Raw genomic sequence first — 17,073 nt, 5'->3', positions numbered from 1 at the left:
TTTTTTGTTTTGTTTTTGTTTTTGTTTTTGATGGAGTCTCACTCTGTCGCCAGGCTGGAGTGCAGTGATGTGATCTCAGCTCATTGCAACCTCCACCTCCCGGGTTCAAGCGATAATTCTGCCTCAGCCTCCGAGTAGCTGGGATTACAGGCATGTGCCACCATACCTGCCCAACTCATTTTTGTATTTTTAGTAGAGACAGGGTTTTACCATGTTGGCCAGGATGGTCTCAATCTCTTGACCTCGTGATCCACCTGCCTTGGCCTCCCAAAGTGCTGTGATTACAGGCATGAGCCACCGCGCTGGCCTCATGTGTGTTTTATAATCGTTTCCTTTACAACTTTTTTGTTTCCTCTGACTTTAATCATTGCCTTGTGTTTTCATTTGTTTTAATATATTATACCTATCATTAGTTTTTCCCATGTAATCTAATAGTTTCTCAATACACATTTTGTTCATTCAGTCAAAGCTATTAGATAATCCATCAGTTCAATTTTTCCCTGGAGGCTTCCATCTTTTTTTTTTTTTTTTTTTAGATGGAGTCTCACTCTGTCGCCCAGGCTGGAGTGCAGTGGCGAGATTCCGGCTCACTGCAACCTCTGCCTCCCAGGTTCAAGTGATTCTCCTGCCTCAGCCTCCCAAGTAGCTGGGATTACAGGCGCCTGCCACCACGCCCAGCTAATATTGTATTTTTAGTAGAGACAGGGTCTCACCATGTTAGCCAGGCTGATCTGGAACTCCTGACCTCAGGTGATCGCTCGCCTTAGCCTCTCAAAGTGCTGGGATTACAGGCGTGAGCCACCACGCTTGGTGGAACCTTCCATTCTTTTGCTCTGGTCTGCACCGCCGGCTATCTCAGCCTGTGCACAGCTGTCATCCTGGGACTTCTCTGCATCCTCAAAATTCCCTTTACCTGTCTCTGTGTTGAATCTGTTTCCTGGATACTTTACTCCTTTGTTTTATTTACCTGTTTATTGAGACAAGGCCTTGCTCTGTTGCTCAGGTTGGAGTATAGTGAGGTAATCATGGCTCACTGCAGCCTCAAACTCCTTGGCTCAAGCGATCCTATCGAAGTGCTGGGATTATAGGTGTGAACCACCGTACCCAGCCAACAATAAATTCTTGAATTAAGACCAGGTCCATGCCTGTAATCCCAACGCCACTGCACTCCAGCCTGGGTGACAGCGACACTCCTTCTCAAAAAAACAAACAAACAAAAAAGTAGCCGTGTGTGGTGGTAAGCACCTGTAATCCCAGCTACTCAGGAGACTGAGGCACGAGAATCGCGTGAACCCGGGAGGTGGAGATTGCAGTGAGCTGAGACCACATCACTGCACTCCAGCCTGGGCAACAGAACAAAACTCAGTCTAAAAGAAAAAAAAAAACGGAAAAATGGTAATTAAAATGTTCTTTTTTTTTGAGACAGAGTCTCACTCTGTCACTCAGGCTGGAGTGCAGTGGTGTGGTCTCAGCTCACTGCAATCTCCACCTCCTGGGTTCAAGTGATTCTCGTGCCTCAGCCTCCTGAGTAGCTGGGATTACAGGTGCACACCACCACATGCGGCTAACTTTTTTTTTCTTTTTTTTTTTTTTTGAGAAGGAGTCTCACCCTATCATCCAGGCTGGAGTGCAGTGGAGCTATCTCGGCTCACTGCAACCTCTGCCTCCTGGGCTCAGGCGATTCTCCTGCCTCAGCCTCCTGAGTAGCTGGGATTACAGGCATGCACCACCATGCCCAGCTAATATTTTGTATTTTTAGTAGAGACAGGGTTCCACCATGTTGGCCAGGATTGTCTCAAACTCCTGACCTCAGGTGATCTGCCCGCCTCAGCCTCCCAAAGTGCTGGGATTACAGGTGTGAGCCACCATGCCCAGCCCTAATTTTGTATATATTTTTTTGTCTTTGTATGAGATTTTATTAAAGGTCTTTACAGAGCAACATCCAGACTCCAGAATACAGCTGCTAAGGAGACCCTGTTATGCTGTAGGGACTGGCTGGGGCATGGCAGATGGCTCTGGCTTCCCACCCTTCTGTTCTGAGATGGGGGTGGTGGGCAGTATCTCATCTTTGGGTTCCACGATGCTCACGTGGTCAGGCAGGGGCTTCTTAGGGCCAGTCTTACCAGTTGGGTCCCAGGGCAGCATGATCTTCACCTTGATGCCCAGCACACCCTGTCTGAGCAACACGTGGCACACAGCAGTGCCAACGTAGTAGTTAATAGGGTCTCCACTGTGGATCGTCAGGCCATCCACAAACTTCATGGATTTAGCCCTCTGTCCTCGGAGTTTCCCAGACGCCATGACCTTGCAGCCTTTGGCCCCACTCTCCATGATGAACCGCAGCACACCATAGCAGGCCCTCCACACAGCAAGCCCTCCTAGGAGTTTGTAACGCAGAGACTCTGCCTGGGCAATGGCACACAGACCTCTAGTGGCAACCTTTTCAGCATAAAGCTCTACACTGCCCTCTGGAAAGCCAAACCTCTTCTGAACTATAGCAGTCAGTTCCCGAATCCGTCAGCCCTTCTCACCAGGAATATTCTGTGTTCTGGTGGCTAAGATAATGATTTCTGTCCTGGTTGGTGTAACTTGCATCTCAACTCCAGAGTAGCCATCTTCAGCCAGCTCCTGAGTAAGAAACTCATTCAGTTCAGCTTTGAAGATGTCATCAGTGACAAACATCCTCTTCTTGGAAATTTGCACAGCCATCTTGCCGCCACGCTCCACTGAAAGGAAAGGCCTAATTTTGTATTTTTAATAGACACAGGGTTTCACCACATTGGCCAGTCTGGTATCAAACTCCTGGGCTTAAGTTATCCTCTGCCAACCTTGGCCTCCCAAAGTGCTGGGATTACAGGTGTGAGTCACATCACACCCAGCCTTTTTTTTTTTTTTTTGGAGGCAAGGTCTTGCTCTGTCTTCCTGGCTGGAGTGCAGTGGTGTGATCATAGCTCACTGCAGCCTCGAACTGGGCACAAGTGATCCTCCCACCTCAGTCTCCCGAGTAGCTGGGACTACAGGCACACACCACCACCCTTGGCTGATAATTTAAAATTTTTTGTCGAGATGGGATCTTGCTATGTTGCCCAGCTGGTCCCAAATTCCTGGCATCAAGCAATCCATCTGCCTTGGCCTCCCAAAGGGCTGGGATTACAGGCATGAGCCACCACGTCCAGCCGATTTTTCCTATTCTGTTTCCGCAGCCCAGTAGATGATTTTGGGCCTTATGGATTGATCCTTTACTACTTTTTTTTTTTTTTTGGATAGATAATATATTCATGATTCAAGATTCAAGAAGTATGTAAGAATGGAAATACAGTGAAACGTTACCCTGCTATTTGGTCCTCGAATCCTCCAATTCTCAAGAGAAGGAATTAGTTTACTTATTTTTAATTTCTAAGAACTCTTTCTTCTCCAATTCTTCCTTTTTAAAGTACTTCATAGACACAATATCTTTTCTTTGAGTTTTGAGAATAGTTATTGTAGCTTTTTCCCCATGAAGTTTTCAGAAAGCTCCCTACTTTGTTATTGTTTCCTTGGTTTCAATTTTCTATTTGTTTGTTTTGGTCTTTCATATTGGAAGGTTACTCAGATGTTTAATGGTCCTTTGCTGTCTATTCATATTTAACAGTGAGATACCAAAAAGTGGATTGGAAGCTCAGTCTATTTACAAGCTTTATTATTAATGAATAGGCTTCACTGTAGGGTGATCATGTGGGGGGAAAGCTGACATTTTGTTGTTGAAGAAACCAAAAATGTCAGTGTCAGTATGCATAGGCATTTTTTTCCCTGCAGTTGTTTCTTTTCATACTGGAGGTTCTGTCAGTGTGTGCTGATGTTGAGTCTCACCGCTCATATATTTTCACTTAATTCTTCATTTTCAATCTAATACCTCACCTCTATCCCCACTATGCCTGCTGCTGAATGCAGAGGCTCTGATAGTTTAAGTTCCCCTGGACATTCTGAAATTTCATGGGCTTTTTCATTCATTATGCTGGGCACTCATGGACAGTTGGTCTGGAAACTTGTGACCTTTGGGCTTAGGAAACCTTAAGTCTATCTTTGCTAACTTCCTCCCTACCATTTCTCCAGAGACGGAATCTCCCATTTTATGCAAGGGAGTAGGGGTAATCACTTGGCTGGATCAGATGAGGTTGGGACTTGGTGGGGCTTTTTCTTATACAGATCATCGTGTAATCTCCTTCCACCCCACCCCTAGTTCTCAGCGTCAGTCCATACCCTCCTCTGAGGTGCTGAACCTTTTATGGGTTCAGAAGGGCACATTGGCTTACTTCTTGCCATTAACTCCCTCAGCAGGTAGAACCCAACTCATTCTACTCTGTTAAGTGACTGTTGACTGTTCTGTTTTTCATCTTCCAAAATGTTGGCATCTCTCATTCATTGTCACCTCCTATTTTCCTTATCACTGGGTCATGTGGCTTTATTATTATATTTTTTGAGAGTTTCGCTCTTGTCACCCAGGTTGGAGTGCAATGGCATGATCTCGGCTCACTGCAACCTCCGCCTCCTGGGTTCAAGCAATTCTCCTTCCTCAGCCTCCTGAGTAGCTGGGATTACAGGTGCCCCCCACCATGCCCGGCTAAACTTTTGTGTTTTTTGGTTTTTTTTTTGAGATGAAGTCTCGCTCTTGTCCCCCAGGCTGGAGTGCAATGGCGCGATCTCGGCTCACTGCAACCTCCACCTCCCAGATTCAAGCGATTCTCCTTCCTCAGCCTCCTGAGTAGCTGGGATTACAGGCACCTGCCACCAGGCCCAGCTAATTTTTCTATTTTTAGTAGAGATGGGGGTTTCATCATGTTGGCCAGGCTGGTCTCGAACTCCTGACCTCAGGGGATCCACCCACCTTGACCTCCCAAAGTGCTGGGATTACAGGCATAAGCTACCACGCCTGGCTTTTTTGTATTTTTAATAGAGACGGGGGTCCACTATGTTGGCCAGGGTGGTCTTGAACTCCTGACCTCAGGTGATTCACCTGCCTCGGCCTCCCAAAGTGCTGGGATTACAGGTGTGAGCCACTGAGCCCAGCCAGCACGTGCCTTTTTAAAATAATTCCTTTACTGGTATTTCAATAGAATTTTTGGAGGGGGCATAAAGGCTCATGTGTTTAATTTTCCGTATTTAACTGGAAAGTTTTTGTTTTGCTTTTAATGCATGCTTCCAGCCTCTTCTATTTTTTAGGCCACTCCAGCATCAAATTTCTGTAAAGCCTTCCCTAATCACCCTAACTGGAAGTAATCTCTCTTTCTGAAAAAGCTCTGTAGACTACTTCTGATTTCTGCTATACATTCAGTACAGATACAGGGATGTCTCACTGTACTAGGTCCATGCCATAATGCCAGAATCTTCATACTAGACACTAGATCCTATACCTAACAAGACAGAAACTGAGATTTACTAGAAAATTAAGCCAAACCCTGGCCAGCCTGTCTTTTCCTTTTCCAGTGATGCCTTCATACCCACAAGCTGACTTCAGTCAGCCCATCCTCAGTTTATATCCTTTTTTTTGAGACAGAGTTTCACTTGTCGCCCAGGCTGGAATGCAATAGTGTGATCTCAGCTCACTGCAACCTCCGTCTCTTGGGTTCAAGCGATTCTCCTGCCTCAGCCTCCCGAGCGGCTGAGATTACAGGCACCCACCACCACGCCTGGCTAATTTTTGTATTTTTAGTAGAGACAGGGTTTCACCATGTTGGCCAGGCTTGTCTCAGACTCCTGACCTCAGCTGATCTGCCCACCTCAGCCTCCCAAAGTGCTGGGATTACAGGCGTAAGCCACCGCGCCTAGGCCAGTTTATGTCTTTCTATCCAACTAAAATGAATAAAGGCAACCATTTGTTCTGTAACATCTGGGACGGTAGGGATGGGGGGGTAGAGCATCACTTGTTACAACAGTCACATTAGCCACCGTTTAAGTACCACTAAAGGAAATTATTATTATTATATTGTTTTGAGGCAGGGTCTCGCTCCATCACCAAGGCTGGAGTGCAGTGGCACAATCTCGGCTCACTGCAACCTCCGCCTCCCAGGTTCAAGCAATTCTCCCTGCTTCAGCCTCCTGAGTAGCTGGGATTTCAGGCGCCTGCCACAATGCCCAGCTAATTTTTGTATTTTTGTAGAGATGGGGTTTCGCTATGTTGGTCTCGAACTCTTCGCCTCAGGTGATCCGCCTGCCTCAGCCTCCCAAGGTGCTGGGATTACAGGCGTGAGCCACTGCACGCGGCCAGAATTGTTGACTCACTCTATATGAAGACAAGGAACTCAAAAAGAAAAGACAGAAAGGCATGTCTCTTTTGGTTAAGGTTAAAGCAATACAGCAAAGTAACAAGCTCCAGGTCAAGAGTCCAATATCACACCTGGCTCTGTCAGTTACTAGCTAGGGAAGCTCTGTGAGCTTCAGGCACCTTATCTGAAAATGGGGATAAGACTTCATGGGGCTCATGTGAGGATTAAATGAAACAATATGTGAAAACTGCTTGCCTGTCACATAGTAAACACTCTCAAGGGAAAGCACCCTTCACATGGCCTTCCTGTGTTCTTGGGACCTCCATTACTGGCTCTGGGTTATATTTGTCTGTGGGGCCAATTTTCCCTTCACTGAAACACAATACGCTGAAGGACAGAGTTCTGGATTCTGAGGGTCAAGTCCTTAGCTTTACCCCTCAAGAGTCATGTGACCTTGAGCTGATTTCCTTATTTCTGATGAAGCGTGGCCCAGCTTCCTGACAGAACGAGTACCAGATCAACTGGAAAAGGCATGTGAAAGGAACTGGCATGTCTAATGGGCTTTACATATGGTTGGCAACATAATCCTCTGGCAGAAAAGTGTTCAAAATGGGACTCTATGGAAACGGGCTTAGGCACACCACCCCAGGATCACAAGTTGGTCCACAGAGGCTGGAAAAGAACCTCCGCCCTCCACTACCCATGAGCCATGGGAAAGGTTAATTAGCAAGGTACCACAGTACCACCTAGTGGCTGGCACACCCGTCCTCCCTCTCCCCCAGGTGTTAAGGAAAGGCTATCATGTGATTCTGGTCACATACTTCACTGGCTGATTAGTCAGGGATGGAGACAAACCAAATACACCACTCTCTCTTTTAATATTAACATATACAAGCAGCAGAAAGAGCCAACTGCTCTCTGCTGTTCCCTGAGGGAAAGCCGGAGCACAAAGCTGTTCCTCTGGCCTTCCTCCAACTGCCGGGCCTGCTTAGCTCCTCCCTAGGCAGAAGCTTTGTTCCAGCCCCACTTCCACATCCCAACTCCACAGTCAGGATGGGAGGCACATGGTTGCTAGCAGGGGAAAGAATACTGTAGTTCCAGCCTCTGCTCCTTTCAGTCTCAGCCTGGATGGTGGTCACTCATCCCTCTGCAGCTAGTTCCTCACTTGTCCCAGCCCAGGAGCCAGGAGGGCACTCAATCACACCCAAAGGAGCAGGCAGTGTGACTTCAGTCATCTTCAGATGACTCCTCTTCTGCCTCTTTTAGCCACTGGATGAACCTCTGCAGCTGTAAAGAAGCAGAGGAGAGATCGGCTGGGGGAGGTGCACATAACTCTCCTGCTCCCCTCGGCAGATAAACAGCTCTAACAACCAGAGCCCCAGAAACCAACCACCCTAGAGTCTAGGGGCCAGGACCTGGGAATGAGATAACCATCTTGGCGAGAGGAGGACAGCCTGACGCACCTGTTGATTCTTGCGCAACTGCTGGCCCTTGTCAGTTGTATCTCTTTGGCTGAACCAGCTCAGAATTGTTTCCTCAGCCAGGATCTCCAGCTGGTAGAAAGCCATCAGTACCTGCAAAAGGCCAATAAAGGGGACCTCAGGGGCCTTGGAAAGTCCAGCAGGATACTCTACCAGGCCCTCAGATCCCTCTATGCACTGAGTAGCCTCCTCCAAAACGGACAAGAGTGAGCTGTTCGCTCTGCTCCTGGGGCAGGTCTAACTTCTGGAACTATTGCTGGGGAGAGCTTTGCACATTTCCAGACCACCCCCCAGATGGCTACCTTATTAGTCCGGCTCCAAGCTGTACTATTCTAGCAATAAGCATATTGGGAGTGGATGGTCCATACTGGATTCACATTAGCTTCTATTTTATGTCTCCCAAGGGGGTCACCAACCCTCGTTTGAAAGCAAGTGCAGAAGAATGGGGCTTGAGGTCATATTCACCTTGGCCATGGAAATACCAAGAGCTTCATGCTCTAGGAAGAAGTCCTCAATGGCTGCTAACGCTTCCAAATGGTCGGCTGCGCGCTTTATGTAGTTCCTAAAAACAGGGCTCCAGGCCTTTAGCAGCTATGGAAGAAAGAAGGGAGCTGCAGTATATTCCTAAGCATTCACCTATACCTGGACATCCAAGCAAATCCATACTGATGACATGGGTGGACAAAAGGGAGATGATACAGGTTCTGTGGAATTATGTCAGAGGGACTTGGGAGTTGTTGACAGGGTTTGGGAAAAAGAGATTCCTTAGGGAAGGTGAAAGGGGATCAGATGCTATAGGCTGCCTCAAAATACCTATTCCCACCCCAGAGGCTGATCTTGTGTTGGGTCAAATTGCTGCCATAGAGTCTGAATGTCCAGGTCCATTCTGAATATACCTTTGTGGGCCTAGGATGGTATGAAATCCTGGAGTCTCAAAGGCCAGTCAGTATTGAACTCAATCTGACCCCTCTGAACCAGCCAAGGCTGCTCTAGAGCCCAACCAGCTTCCAGAGGCAAGGAAAAAGGAACCAGAAGTGACATACACCCAATATAACAAGACAGTCTACTCCTGATTTCCTTTGCCTGTACCCAATCCCTTGTACTCAGCTCCAATCTTTGCTCACAGGAAGCAGCAGGGCACAGTAGCGGCTTGAGTCAAGCGGGGAATCCATCTGTTGCAGGGGGAACTCCAGGACCACGTGGCTCAGTACCTGCATCACCTCCTTTAGACTTATGTTATAGGCATACCTGTGGGGAGACTGGGGTGACACCAGGGCCTTCACTGGCCTTTCAGCAGGCTTAGAACTATGACTTTGATAGACATTGGAGAGGAATCTGGATGGAACAATATGGAAGGGGAGGGTTTAGGAAGGAGAAAGTCTATGCTGAGGCTAGAACTTAATAATGCTCTCCTTGCTCCAAATACTACTGGTCTTTCCATTTGGGATGTCGAAGGAATAGGTTCCTATTTGGAGACAAAACACTTACGAGAAAGCCTCTACCTTCCCGGGATCACCCCGAGGAGAACAGGGAGGGGCTGCTCTTACTTGAGAGAGTTGATTTCCAGGACGAGATTGTCACAAGAAATGTTCTCCTCTTTGCCCCGCTGTAGTGTTCCTAAAACTTCATTCTGGAACACTGAAATCAAAGCAAGGATAAGTTCATGGGCCAACATCATTCAGAATGCTCTAAGTCATCTAGTCTTGACTCGATACCAAACCCTTTCTGAGGAACGTAAGCCTCTGGCTAGTTGATCCAGGCAGAGAATAAACTGGTCCAGCGCATTTCTCCCCTGCCACTCACCTTTGATGTCATCCATCTGAGGGGAGCCTCCCCGGCTGTCCGGCTCCTCAGAATCCATACTTTGCTCACTTTCACTTTCACTCTCTTCTTCCATGTTGATCTTGAGTCCTGAGAAGCCATAATGGGTGAGGAAAAAGAAAAAAAGAGTCATTGACAGAGAGCAATATACCTGCCCTGTCTGCCTGAATAAAGGAGTGAATAAGTAATGTGACTCTGAAGTATTCATTATCCTTCAAAATATTCCGATTCAGGAGGAGAAGGGCAGGCATCAGGCCTAGCTCACCCCACAGATTCTGCTGCAGTTCCTCCTCTTCCTCCATGTTCATGCCTGCAGCTTTCCAGAGGTAGCCCTTGCCAGCAGCTCCTACTTCTGCTGGATTGTAACCTGGAAAAGGCAATGATCTATAGAGAGGGCCCGGCGGAAGCACCAATCCCTCCAGGAGGAAACACTGGTTCTTCTATGAGGCAGCGAGACACACAGATGCCCCACACCTGTTGAGTCTCACACCTTTCATCTTCACTTTGTCCTTTTCTTGGTCAGCCCCAGAATCATCACTGAACTCGCCATCATCTTCATCTTCCTCTGCATCTGGAGGGTGCAAAGAGATCACCGAGCCCTCAGGCAGCGTGATATTTGGGCCCACGACCACCTAAGGGGAAAAAAAACACAGAACCATTAGGGTGTGGAGGAAAAGTGCATCCTGATAATGAGAGCAACTTTTTTAGACAGGATTATGGGTGGAAATAATGCCCCTTCTGGCTCAGTGTGACTGCCATGCAATTCAGGGCCTGTGCACAGTATAGATCAGGTCTCACCTGGGAAGTGAGGACAGAGCGTGGTTTCAGTGTCACTCGTTCCTTGACCTCAGCATTGTCACAAAGCAGAGACTGATGGATCTGTGCTCCAGCCGCCACTCGAACACCCTGCCACAGGTAGGTCTGGTCCAGCACCACGTTATCACCTGGCTCAGGATGGGAAGACCTCTGGGTAACTCAGGGTTCCAACCGCAGAGCAGAGCCCTTCATAGAGGACAGGGCTGACTGACACCAGCACAGCTCCCACCTAGCTCTCATTCCCCATCCCGCAAGTCACCAGAAACACCCACTCACCCCCTAAGCCCAGGCCTGAGAAGATACTTCACCAAGTTTACAACAATTATAGACTACACACAGAGCTTAAGAACCCGAGAACCTTCAGGATTTCTGGGGACCCTCTGAACTCAAAAAACCTTATTAGAATCATATCCACGCCTACAAGCAGAACCAAATAATTCCACCTCTTCTGGTACATTTTAGAAACCAAGTCTTTTTTTTCTTTTGAGACACGGTCTCATTCCATCACCCAGGCTGGAGTGCAGTAGTATGATCATGACTCACTGCACCCTCGACCTCTGGGCTCAGGTAATCCTCCTGCCTCAGCCTCCCGAATAGCTGAGATTACAGGCACGCGCCATCATGCCCAGCTAATTTTTGTATCATTTGTGGAGAAGGGGTGTCGCTATGTTGCCCAGGCTGGTCTTGAACTCCTGGGCTCAAGCGATCCTCCCACCATGGCTTCCCAGTGTGCTAGGATTACAAGCATGAGCCACCACGCTCAGCCCCTAGAATCTGAGCCTTACTGTTGTTCTTGGAAAGGGGCAGTACTATTAGACGCATCACACTCCTGCAACCAAAATGAGATACCAAGAGGCCAACCAGGCAGTTATGGTAGACTCAAAAGAACACTGGACTTACATTCAGAATACCCAGATTCAGGTCCCACCATTATTACCAATGACCTTGGGCAAGAAAATCTTGTTGAGCCTGTTTATTTGTAAATTATGAAGATTAAATGTAACAATGTATATAAAAGCCCTTTGTAAACTGTAATGTGCTAAATAGATGTTGTTACTGCATGTTAATTATCTACTTGCTCCTGAATGTGACTACAGGGTACCCTGGAATGTGAAGAGTCATCCAATGAGAGGCCCACAGGCTACAAATTAAGGTATCGCTGTTTTCAAATCCCTGTTTCCTCCTTTCCTGAGGTAGCCGCTCTATAGTTCCTTATTCCCAGGGACTGTCCCTTGTGTAGCCATCCCTTGTGTTTCTGGAGACGTGGCCCCCCCAGGTTCCTGTTCCTAGGATAGTTGGCTTGATTCCCCACCTGTGCTCACCAATGTGGCAGCCGGGGCCAATGACACTGTTGGTGATAAAGCAATTGCTGCCAATGACAGTGCCAGAGCCCAGGAGCACATTTTCCTCTAGGATGCTGCCATGGCCCAGGCTGACCTCAGGCCCTCGGTAGATGTTGTGCCGGGAATGAGTGCAGCTCTGGGTGGTGCTGTCAGTGAAGTTCGCCTCTGGGGTGAGAGGGTAGACCCATCGGCGGATGACGTCAGCACAGACAGCTGAGTACATGTGTAGGTTGGAGACACGGGCACCATATTCCTTAGCTGTTACGTGCATGTGGATCTGGTTCCCTAGGATCTGAATGAGAAGGAAAGGGAGGTCACCTAAGCAAGAAAGACAGGAAGAATGCCCCCAAGTACAACTTTTCTAATCCTTTTAAGTTCCCCTCTGCCTCTCACTGCCACAAAGATTCTTCTTTGTGTACTGTTCCTCCTGTCCCCTGCTTTTCCTCCCTCCTAAGCCTCAATAAAATACAAAAAAGATCAAAAGTTACCAGCATGAGATACAATCATAGCCTTCTCCTCTCTCCTAAAGAGGCATTGGAAGACTTTTCTCACCTCCTCATTCACTAAGAGACCTCGCACAAAGTCATCTCGAGTTTGGTAGTCAAAGTTGTCTGTAAAGAGTTGTGCCACCTGTGGAAGGGAAGTGGAGTGGGCTAGAATTAAGTACTATTCTTTTTTTTTTTTTTTTGAGACAAGTCTAGCTCTGTTGCCCAGGCTGGAGTGCAGTTGCATGATCTCGGCTCACTGCAACCTCCACCTCCTGGGTTAAAGTGATTCTTGTGCCTCAGCCTCCCAAGTAGCTGGGATTACAAGCGTCCGCCACCACGCCCAGCTAATTTTTGTATTTTTATTTTTTAGTAGAGATGGGATTTCACTGTGTTGGTCAGGCTGGTCTTGAACTCCTGACCTCATGATCCACTCACCTCGGCCTCCCAAAGTGCTGGGATTACAAGCGTGAGCCACCACGCTTGGCCAGGATTAAGTACTATTCTCTAGGAGCACAGATAATCCCCCAGAGACCTAGCAAACCCTATGACAGCTGAACATGGACCAGAATTCCAAAGAGACTCCCAGTGGGATACTGGAGACAAGATCTTTGCTTTACAATAGATTCTAAAAAAAAAAAAAAGGCCAGGTGCAGTGGCTCATGCCCGTAATGCCAGCACTTTGGGAGGCCGAGGCAGGCAGATCACCTGAGGTTGGGAGTTCGAGACCAGCCTGACCAACATGGTAAAACCTCGTCTCTACTAAAAATACAAAAATTAGCTGGGTGTGGTGGCACATGCCTGCAATCCCAGCTATTTGGGAGGCTGAGGCAGGGGAATTGCTTGAACCTGGGAGGTGGAGGTTGCAGTGAGCTGAGATCGCACCATTGCATCCAGCCTGGGCAACAAGAGTGAAACTCCGACTCAAAAAAAAAAAAAAAAAAAAAAAAAAAATGCTGGGTGCAGAGGCTCACACCTGTGATTGCAGCACTTTGGGAGGCCAAGGCGGGAGGATCACCTGAGGTCAGGAGTTAGAGACCAGCCTGGCCAATATGGTGAAACCCCATCTCTACTGAAAAATACAAAAAATAGCCGGATGTGGTGGTGCGTACCTGTAGTCCCAGCTACTTGAGAGGCTGAGGCAGGAGAATCACTGGAACCCAGGAGGTGGAGGCTGCAGTAAGCTGAGATCATGCCACTGCACTCCAGCCTGGGCGACAGAGCGAGGCTCCATCTCAAAACAACAATAACAACAACAACAACAAAAAAAACTGGTGGCTCATGCCTGTAATCCCAGCATTTTGGAAGGCTGAGGTGGTCAGATTGCTTGAGCTCAGGAGTTCGTGACCAGGCCGGACAACATGGCAAAACCCCGTCTCTACAAAAAAATACAAAAATTAGTGGTAGTGCATGCCTGTGGTTCCATCTACTCAGGAGGCTGAGGCAGGAGGTTCCCTTGAACCTGGGAGGCTGAGGCTGCAGTGAGCAGTCATGGTGCCACTGTGCTCCAGCCTGGGCCACAGAGCGAGACCCTGTCTCAAAAAATATATATAAATAAAAATGAAAATAAGGCCAGGTGTGGTGGCTCATGCCTGTAATCCCAGCACTTTGGGAGGCTGAGACAGGTAGATCACTTGAGACCAGGAGTTCGAGACCAGCCTGGCCAACATGGTGAAACCCCATCTCTACTAAAAATACAAAAATTAGCCAGGCATGGTGGTGTGCCTGTAATCCCTGCTACTCAGGAGGCTGAGGCAGGAGAATCACTTGAACCTAGGAGGCAGAGTCTGCAGTGAGCTGGGATCACACCACTGCACTCCAGCCTGGGCAACAGAGCGAGACTCTGTCTCAAAAAATAAAAGTAAAAATAATGAAAATAAACAGGGAGAAGAAATATACCCTGGCCTTCTAAGGGGACAATAACAGACCCACAGAGTTCTACTCTTTGGGTGTGCAGCCCCAGCCCTAAAGAGCTCACCTGAGGAGAACAGATGCTGATATGACAATCCAGTAAATCATATCGAACCTCCACTCCATCACTACTGCCCTGAAACAGGCTCTGTGGGGAGAAGTTACAAGGACTTTAATTTGTTTCTCCCACTGAAGCCTGTCACTTCCCCATCTCAAAGGACCCCAGATATCCACACACCAGAGGAAATGCAAAACGCCGGAGACCCTGGGTCTTCTGAAAATGGAGAACCCTGTTTGTGGTACTATCCACAGCCACTACCACATTGTCTTCGTGGCAACGAGTTGGGTGGCTGGGGGATGACTCCTTGAAGATCATCGTCATCACAGAAACATTTTTTTCTAGCTTCCGTCTCAACCTATAAAGGACAGGAGGGACAGAACTGCAAAAAAGCAGTCTCAGGGCTCTGCTGGTCTTTAACCCTTGTTCCTGTCATTTTCCCATCCTGACCTGTGTTCCTCAAGGGCTCTGGTGATATTGATGTTTGAGATGACATCCCCATACACCAGAAGAAAGTCAGAGCGCACCAAAGCCTTGGCATCAACATCACGGAGGACATCTCCCAGTGATCGATAGAGCTCTGATGTAATTATTCGAACCACATTGAGAGATGTAGGGCGGCACCACTTTGACTTCCTAAAGGAAGGGAGGGTGAGGGGAATGAGTGTATCAAGCATAAAGATCATTTGAGCCTTCCCCATTTTTCACCCCCTTTCAGCACTCACAGTCCTTCTCGATGGCTTTTTTGGGTTCTTGCCAGCGTCTTCAACTTCAAAGAGTATTATGAACTATAATGAATGCTTTCAGCATCCTGTGTCACCAGTCTTGTTTTATGGGTTAGGAAACATGGTTATTTCCTCTCCATACCTTGACCCCTTGTCCCTAAACATCAATTTGAACTCAAAATCCTGCTGAAGCCTAGGGTACACAAAGTAGCCTGGGAACACGCTTCACGTCAGCTTTCCCCTTCTGCAATCCATATAACATTTAGGAACTGTCTGATGGAGACCATGCTAATGTCCTAGTCTTTACATCCTGGACTTCCATAAGCAATGCGATTCCCTAGTTTTCAAGATTTCAACAAACATGTAAGTGCTCACTATATGCTTGGGACTGAGCTAGGCAGTGGGAATACAAAGATGACAAGGAGCTCATTTATATCCTTGAAGGTGAGAACAAACAAGATTTAGAAACTCAGTGGGAAAACAAAGATGTTATCATTGTAACTTCCATACTGAAGCCATTAAATAAAAGCAAAGTCCACTGGCACCAAACTTTATAATGAGATTCAGAAAAAACCCAAGTTTATTCTTTAATCTTTGTCACAGAAAACCCAAGACAGACAGATACAAAGTTTCAGCTGCTCACCTCCTGATAAGTGTAGAAAATACCCTTAGAACTTACAATGACATCTAAGTAGACACATTTTTCCCCTCTCACATTTCCCCTTAGTTACATTCATCCTGAAAAAACTGGAAAAAGATGGCGAAACATGGAAAGAAAAGTTGCAGGGCCTTACAGTAAATGTTCTTTGATTTGAGCAGCTTTCCAGCAACAAAAGACAAATGTTTCCTGTACACCTGTGGCAGTCAGGAATTCCAGAGTGTAGTCAATTAATGCCACATTGGCCAGGGGCAAGAGGACCTGAAGGATACAAGATGAAAAAAAACTTGAGGTCTCGAATCCCTTTGGGTACCCCACTGCAACAATTTTCACTCCTCTATTCGTATTTCCAAACAGTGTAATTTTGCTGTATCTTTCCAATTCAAAGATAAACAGGTTCCTGCCTTTGATGTTCATGCCATGCTCTAAGCCTGAGTCTGAGACATTGCAATTTGGGGATGGTAAGTACAGAATCTATGTGCCTTGTATCAGACACAGAGCTGTGACAGAATGGCAGTTCACTGCTGGCAAAGGATAATACTGGAAATCAATCATATTTCCATAAATTTAAGCATTGCTAAGGCCTTCTTCCCCATAAGATTTCCTTCCTTGATCCCTTTCTAAGTGTCAGAGGTTAGCCATCTCCCGTCACTTGTCAAAAATGAACAGCCATTAGGCTTTTTCGAGGGAATTAGAGAGGATTTTCCTTAAATCCAATGCAGTTCCCTCTTTCTGAACTGACTGCTGAACGACCCAGCTGAGTCCAATACCCCATTGTCTAGACAACTCGGGGGCTGATGGCAATCAACCACTAAACCCATTTTGTCCTTTCGACAGATAGCACCGGCTATCATTAGAACCTGGAAGGAAAAAAAAAATACACTGCCTGAGATCTAGCCCGCTCTTTTTAAGGCATATTACCGCCCTTTCAGAGGCAAAAGGTCGTTTCTTTTCACCTAAGCAACCGTCATCGGCAAGGTTAAAAGCGGCGCAGCCTCTTCTAGGGGCACTGAATCCCCGCGTGAAGGCTTCTCTCAAGCGCTGTTTCTACATTTAGCTCTCTTCATTCCTTTCAAACCCGAGGTGGACAGCATTACGAATGCCCAAATCTGCCGGCCACTAACTTGGTCAGCAGTCATCAGGGTTTAGACAGTCCCTCTGCATCCGGTTTTAGGATAACAGCATAGACGCAGGTCCTTCAAGGGCATGCTGTTGTAGTTAGCCGAAATGAGAACTTGCTCCAGCCCTGCCACCCTTCCTGCCCTCTGGCTGCTCGCGTGCGCGGCGCTCACCCGAGGCTGGTCCTTGGAGATGGGGAAGAAGCGGCGATCGAAGCTATCGGCCACCAGAACTGCTTGTAGGGGCGGCGGCGGTTCCTCCTCCGCCCCTCTGGCTCCCCCGCCACCGCTGCCTCCCGGCCCCGCGCCGCTGCGCTTGTTAGCCCGACTAACCACCACACCAGGCGGCGCCACTACAGGGGCCGCCATCTTCTTCTCTCACGGTCACCACTTCCGCAAGGAAGCTGCCACCGCA

At 47.7% G+C, this 17,073-nt stretch overlaps 1 protein-coding gene and 1 pseudogene across 4 annotated transcripts, besides 3 other annotated features; both read right to left on the bottom strand.

Annotated features, from left to right (window-relative positions):
* Positions 1,970-2,739, bottom strand: RPS3P3 (ribosomal protein S3 pseudogene 3; annotated as a pseudogene).
* Positions 7,022-7,071: a silencer, noted in NCBI's record as "silent region_14955". NCBI's record gives its function as "represses an Ori minimal core promoter by ATAC-STARR-seq in GM12878 lymphoblastoid cells {active_cell/tissue: GM12878}" and the evidence as "EXISTENCE:reporter gene assay evidence [ECO:0000049][PMID:35858748]".
* On the bottom strand, positions 7,102-17,055 carry EIF2B5 (eukaryotic translation initiation factor 2B subunit epsilon). 4 transcript variants are annotated; one of them, NM_003907.3, is made up of 16 exons: positions 16,833-17,055; positions 15,677-15,801; positions 14,608-14,793; positions 14,338-14,515; positions 14,167-14,247; positions 12,256-12,333; positions 11,683-11,995; positions 10,343-10,488; positions 10,035-10,176; positions 9,810-9,911; positions 9,527-9,634; positions 9,271-9,361; positions 8,848-8,971; positions 8,189-8,314; positions 7,706-7,816; positions 7,102-7,529 (listed from the first exon to the last, which is right to left on the bottom strand). In NM_003907.3, the coding sequence occupies exons 1-16, from the start codon at positions 17,025-17,027 to the stop codon at positions 7,470-7,472; spliced, it is 2,166 nt and encodes a 721-aa protein (NP_003898.2). In that variant the 5' UTR covers positions 17,028-17,055; the 3' UTR covers positions 7,102-7,469. The 4 variants fall into 4 exon arrangements, with proteins under 4 accessions (NP_003898.2, XP_011511567.1, XP_011511568.1 ...); XM_011513265.1 differs by lacking the exons at positions 14,167-14,247; positions 14,338-14,515; positions 14,608-14,793; positions 15,677-15,801; positions 16,833-17,055 and adding an exon at positions 13,474-13,517; XM_011513266.4 differs by lacking the exons at positions 14,167-14,247; positions 14,338-14,515; positions 14,608-14,793; positions 15,677-15,801; positions 16,833-17,055 and having other exon boundaries at positions 12,192-12,326.
* Positions 16,706-16,775: an enhancer, noted in NCBI's record as "active region_20902". NCBI's record gives its function as "activates an Ori minimal core promoter by ATAC-STARR-seq in GM12878 lymphoblastoid cells {active_cell/tissue: GM12878}" and the evidence as "EXISTENCE:reporter gene assay evidence [ECO:0000049][PMID:35858748]".
* Positions 16,846-16,955: a silencer, noted in NCBI's record as "silent region_14954". NCBI's record gives its function as "represses an Ori minimal core promoter by ATAC-STARR-seq in GM12878 lymphoblastoid cells {active_cell/tissue: GM12878}" and the evidence as "EXISTENCE:reporter gene assay evidence [ECO:0000049][PMID:35858748]".

The sequence above is a fragment of the Homo sapiens genome, chromosome 3 (genome assembly GCF_000001405.40).
Source record: "Homo sapiens chromosome 3, GRCh38.p14 Primary Assembly".
NCBI lineage: Eukaryota > Metazoa > Chordata > Mammalia > Primates > Hominidae > Homo > Homo sapiens.
This window is presented reverse-complemented; position numbering and strand designations above follow the sequence as displayed.

What these genes read in the sequence shown, in the direction of transcription:
- EIF2B5 (NM_003907.3), bottom strand. Translation starts at nt 17,027, where the DNA reads ATGGCGGCCCCTGTAGTGGCGCCGCCTGGTGTGGTGGTTAGTCGGGCT. An exon ending in TCTCCAAGGACCAGCCTCGG is followed by an intron (nt 15,802 to 16,832) that starts GTGAGCGCCGCG and finishes TGTATCCTTCAG; the next exon opens with GTCCTCTTGCCCCTGGCCAA. An exon ending in GGCGTTTTGCATTTCCTCTG is followed by an intron (nt 14,248 to 14,337) that starts GTGTGTGGATAT and finishes TTCTCCCCACAG; the next exon opens with AGCCTGTTTCAGGGCAGTAG.